Below are 6,141 nucleotides of genomic sequence, written 5' to 3' on the forward strand. Positions count from 1 at the left end.
GTGCACTTCCCTTCCTCCTCTGGTGACATGCACTGGCATTTTGGGAAGCCCACCACATCACTGCTTACCTCTGCCTGGATTTACAACATCTCACTGCAGGGTGAACCAGCGGGGTGAGGAGCATGGTGTCAGGCCTCGAGAACTACCTGTCAGATTACTGAACAATTCATCCAAATCTGCAAGGTCTCCTCTATTTCATTAAGTCATCTCAGAGACATTTGCTATCAGATTTATTTCACTGTGCCACCTGTAGCTTAGGCAGATTTTGTGACTTTAAGTTTTGTACTTAGGAAGCAAATGGTTTTCATGCTATTTTTTTCCCCAAGACTCCTTAGACAATATATAAGCCAATATTTTATTAACTCCAAGGCACAGGAATAATGGTATTTATGCAATGTATTAACTTCATTGAGCCTCGTTCCTATTTCCAAGATGCATGTTCCTATGAACACATACCTAAATAATAATAATTATTATTATTTTACTTTAAGTTTTGGGATACATTTTCAGAACGTACAGGTGTGTTACATAGGTATATGTGTGCCATGGTGGTTTGCTGCACCTATCAACCCGTCATCTAGATTTTTAACCCTACATGCATTAGGTATTTGGCAAACATATGTCTTTTCTTCTTTGCTTACCAGATATTTATCAGATTATATAATAATAAAGTATTCAATTGGCTTTCAGTTGCACAGAAATGGGCATGCTTTGGGAGACTAATGGAGTTGTAAGACCAATAAGAAGATTTCCTTAAAGATTTATTGTGCTCTGACAGCAGAATTGTGAGTGGGAGGCCATGTTAATGGAAGTTATATCCAAAGGTGTAGAGCTGCACTGAGCTGTATCTCAACCCTGCTTGGGCACTGACTGCCTCTGTGACCTAGGCAGACCTCCTGACTGCTCTCAAGCTTGGAGTTTTCAACAATAAGAGGACTGATTGTGCTTAGGTCATAGAGTTAGTGAAAGGATTATATGAATTTATACCAAAAAGTGCTTAGCACTGGGCTGAAGACATATTAAGTAATTGTTTACAAGGTAGCTTTTATAAATACAAAGGACTTCAGAGAGGGGGCTGGACAGGCTCATAGACTATTATTGACTGGGACCCTGACATCAGGACTTGTGTGAATCTGTATGTGGATTTACAATGCAGGAAATTAAATATCAGCTTTCCACAAGGCACTGACTTGCTCACGGAAGTCACAGCACAATTGGTTATTTTCACACAGAAAAATAATGTCAGAAAATAACATTTTTGGCTTTATATCTTTCATCAGCCAGTTCTTAAATCGCTTCTAATACCAGTACATGGAGCATGCCATACATAATATTCTGATATCTGTTCCAGTGTGTTTCTCCCCCACCTCACCCTCTATTCACACACACACACACGCACATGCATACACAGTATTACATAAAATCAAATGAGATAATAATGTCCATAATATTTTTTGGCTCAATTTTTAGCACTGAGTGAAATATTGTGAACATTTTTCATATCATTAAAAATTATTCTACCTAATCGAATTTGACATCATAAATTGTTTGAAACTTATTTCCACTTTTAAAATATTCTAAATGACATTTTGGTAAAGATCTTGAAACATACATCTCTGTATATACTACTATTACAATCTTATAAAAAACTTCTAGATACAGAAGTTTTGGGTCAAAGGATGTGCACAGTTTTAGGACTTCTGTTATATCTTGTCAGATTTTTCCATGGGAAATGCTAGACCAATTTTCACTTCTGCCAGAAGGGTGCTAGTTTCCCCTCACTATTGCCAACTGGGTATTTTAATTTAAAAACACTTACCAATTTAAAAAATGAAGATGGTTTATCAGCCTTCTCAGTCTGATTTGCATATCTTTGAACATTTTCACACATTAATTATTTTTTTTCTCGTTAGTAAATTGCCTTTCCTAAAGTTTTTCTTTGTTAAAACACTGATGAGCCATGGAAAGAAGATGGGAATATAATTTCTTTTAAATATTTTGTTGGTTTTTGAGACTGAAGGTAAATTAAATTCAACAGCAATGTCACACCCTTGTTCCTTCAGAGCAGAAACTCATCCAACAGAGCACTGAACCTGAGAGACGCCAGACATGTGGACATCTCATGATTAGAACAAGGTTTCCCAATAGTAAATGTGATAATAATGAGGGATCTTAGGCCCTACATAGCTATCATGGGATAATAAAGAAAAAGCCCTTCCACCTTACAATAGGAAGTTTATTTTAGCCCTCCCATGAATGCTACTTGGACCAATTTCCAGAGTTTTTCAGGGAATCTGGAAAGACAGTTCTATATGTCATAGAATATCAAGGTAACAAAGAAACTTCGAAGAACAGAGACTACAGAAGGCCAGTCTTATATCATTTCTGCTTCTGTTTTATAGTAAGGTATTCAACAAAATCTGTTGCATGAATGGCAGCCATGGTAATCCTCATGCTTAAATTGTTCATAGACTTAATATTCAAAATAAAAATCCCAGAAGGAAACTTCTCCTATAAAGTAATGTGCCTTGGAGGTCAAATAGTGCCCACCCAAGTCCATGCCTAATTAAAGCTGATGTGTTCATTCTTCCTAGTCCAAAACACTGTAAAGTGTTAAGTCTTGGTGTGTGAATGGGTGTGTGTGTGAGTGTGTGTGGGCTTATAGGAACACATAGGAAAATCCATGATTATAGGGTGACAATCCCACAACTTTATGAATCAGGGGTCAAGGATTATAAACCTGGATGCTTAAAATAGAAAGATTGTCCCACAGAATTTGAGAGATGTAGCTGCAATTTAATTTGTCTCCCTTTCTGTGATCCAAGGCCAAGTGAAATGCTTGTGTGCTTTGCTTAAGTGAAACAGACCCACTGCTCTTACTAACCCTGTCATGCAGATACACATATGCACACACTGCTCCCTAACTTCCATGGCACCACCTTCACAGTCAGCTCTCATTTCATGCACATTTTCCAAGGAGGTATATAAGACACAGATACTATACCTTCTCTGACCTTGTCGCTCAGACATAGATCACAATCCCAAAACCTTTCTCCTCCTAGTTTAAAGAGTAACACAGAGAAGAAGTGAACAGTGTTTGCTTCAGAGACTGATGAGGTTTCACTTGGTCTCTGCGACTTCTCCAGCCCTGTGACTTTGAAAAGATTACTTTTAAAAAATGAAAAGTTACCAGTTTCCTTCTCAGTGAAAAGAGCATAAAAATAATATCACCTTAGCAAGGTAGTTGTGTGTATTAAATGAAATGTGTGCAAAGGATTTAGTGAAGTGGTACATTGTAAGTGTGCAGTAGCTGTAAGCATTTATTATTATAGTCATTACTGAAACTCTTCCAAATAGATCCTGCAGTTACGAGCAATACTGGTTTTGCACTTCCCCTGGAAATGGAGGCAAAAGAACAGCGGAGATTTGTACTATTTAATGAGAAAACAAAATTGCCAGACATCTCCGTAGATTTTTTTTTCTCAGCTCCTTTCTGTTACTAGCTAGTTCTCAGAAAAAGCATGTGTACCTACTTAAAATTCCAATTACAAATATCACAAAGCCATTTTGATTTCATTTTAAGAACTGAATGAGGGAAAGACAATCTGTTGAGGAAACTAGGATGCTCCTCCAGCTCCTAGGAGGAAGGAGCTGAGGCTCCCCTACACACAGAGTGTACTCAGTTGGAACTCTACTCCCACCATGGGTGTCTGCTGCCAATTATGAGGCAGCTCAGAGCTGAGCCAATTTCTTCACTAAGGCAAACGTCCCAAGCTGGCATAGTAGTCAGTCCCTTCACCTCAGCTGTAAAAGGAAAGAGAATGTCTAACAAAATTTGGTATTTTTCCTTTTAAATGTTATCCCCATTTTAATTATAAAAGTAACACATTTATTATATAAAATGTTGGAAAATACCCCCAAAATCAAGTAAAAAAGTTCAAGTCACTGTAATCATACCATCAGTGTCAAAGGTCACTGTTAGCATATTAGTGTATATCCTTGCTGACATATATATACATATTTTTTTAAAGATAAGATACTATTTTAGCATCACTTCCCCCACTTAATAGAACATGAACATATGTCCATATAAATATTTGTATCTAAAACATGTAAAATTGTGATGGTTTCATAGTATTCCACCTTGAAATGATACTCTTAGTTATTTAACCAACCTCTCATTTTTATACAAATGTCTTGTTTCTTATAAACAACTAATTGACAAATAGCCTTCTAGCGACATCTATGAGTCTATCCAACAATAGTTCCTTAGGAAGAAGTAGAATTGTGGGCTAATAGGCATACACAGTTCTAAGGGTTTTAATATGTTCAGGGGATAAGACTTGGCTAATCTAAGTCAACTGTGGTAATTCCATCTTCCTTCCCAGTGACCAGGTTTAGTCATAGGCACATGGCCAATTCTGGCCAATAGAACGTGAATGGAAGTATATTTGCAGGTGTCCAGGAAATGAGTTCCTCTGATTAAAAGAGACACAGAAGGGAAATACGTTTTCCCTCAATGGACCATTTTTCCAGTTCTTAAAGTGGAAGGGAATGTGTAGAAAAGAGCTCCTGCACCCATAGGGTAATCACGAGAAGATGTGTGGAGGGGAAGAGACAGTGCGCAGAGGACAATGGAGGGAAAGATGGAAAACTTTCCATCTTAAAACCTAGATGATGGGTTAATAGGTGCAGCAAACCACCATGGCACGTGTTTACCTATGTAACAAACCAGCACATGTATCCCAGAACTTAAAATTAAAATGCCATTCCTGGACAGCATGACAACTCACTTAATAAACTGCCAGGGAACAACTCCACACGTACTCTTTGTGCAAGGTAATAAAAGTTTGTATTTTCTGAGCTATGTTTTGTCAGGTTTTCTGTAAATCACAATGAAAAGCATTCAATCAGGGTAAGAAGCAAAAATGATATATAATGATCTTAATTTCCATCTTTGATTACAACAAACTTAAGCTTTGTCTTTTTAACCTGGCCACTTACATTGCTCTTTTTGTGAACTGCCTTTTATGTCTGTTGCCATTTTTCTGCAAGGGTATTGGCTTCATGTTGATTTAGGGAAGTATGTTTAGAGGAGGAGTTTCAAGATAACTAACTAGAAGTAAATAGATCATCCAATAGAGAACACTAAAATTCAACAGAAAAGTGACAGGAAATACTTAAGTGAGGAAGGAGAGGGAATAAAGGCAGCTTGCTTTGCCAGGATGGGCTGAGAGCCGAGGGACCTCCCACAGTGGCCCCTTAGTGGCCCACATCCCCACCTTGCACTTCTGCAATTCTAGCCATGGGAGAGCCCCTTAAGCCTTGTAAGTCCTGAAACTAACATGGGGAGTTACCAAGCGACTGTGTGATAGCACTCCTCCGGGAAGGAAGCTCCTGCTGGGCCCCACACCCTCCCTAAGACCTAAGCAGCTGAAGAGAGCACTATTTGAGAGCCCTGCCCCCAACAGACTGCATGTTGTCCTGGGGCCCAGTGGCATCGGGGCTGAGGTTAAAGAGAAGTGCAGGCCACTGTCCCTGGGGCTGAGGCATGAGCCAGGTATGGGCTGGGGCAGCCAGGGCTGAGGCATAACCATCACACAGGCTACCACCACACTTAGGACTGAGCAGAGAGCGAGGCAAAGGTTACCACCAGTAGAGCTGAGGTGTGAGTGCTTTGGGGCTGAGGCATGAGCAGCACTTGCGTTTCCCACCCGCCCACCTAGGCTGCCACCACCGAAGGTGGCTCTGCATTCCCCAGTGGCAGGGGAACAGTGCAGCCACTGCTACTTCCCACCTGAACATTCCACGGGTAGCCTGGGGGCCACTCACCCCTGCCTACCATGACTGATGTCTACACACACCATCAGGGGGCCTGAGGACAAGCCTACCTAGCCCAACTTTATCCCCCACCCCATGGCAGAGCACACAGTACAGGAGCCAGAGGGTTGTCCAGCCCAGTCCACCACCATTGGTACCTGAACACTCTTTCCTGGGGGCTTGAGGTGGGGTCTGCTCCCTCTGCCACTACAACCACAGTTGTCACCTGCACATGCCACCTGGAGTACTGGGGACTGGTCTGCCCAGCCCTTTGCAGCCACGGCCAACACCAGCACACACTACTCAGGACCCAGAGGGTCA

At 40.7% G+C, this 6,141-nt stretch overlaps 1 annotated feature.

Moving 5' to 3' along the window:
* Positions 5,237 to 5,306: a silencer, noted in NCBI's record as "silent region_16380". NCBI's record gives its function as "represses an Ori minimal core promoter by ATAC-STARR-seq in GM12878 lymphoblastoid cells {active_cell/tissue: GM12878}" and the evidence as "EXISTENCE:reporter gene assay evidence [ECO:0000049][PMID:35858748]".

The sequence above is a fragment of the Homo sapiens genome, chromosome 5 (genome assembly GCF_000001405.40).
Source record: "Homo sapiens chromosome 5, GRCh38.p14 Primary Assembly".
NCBI lineage: Eukaryota > Metazoa > Chordata > Mammalia > Primates > Hominidae > Homo > Homo sapiens.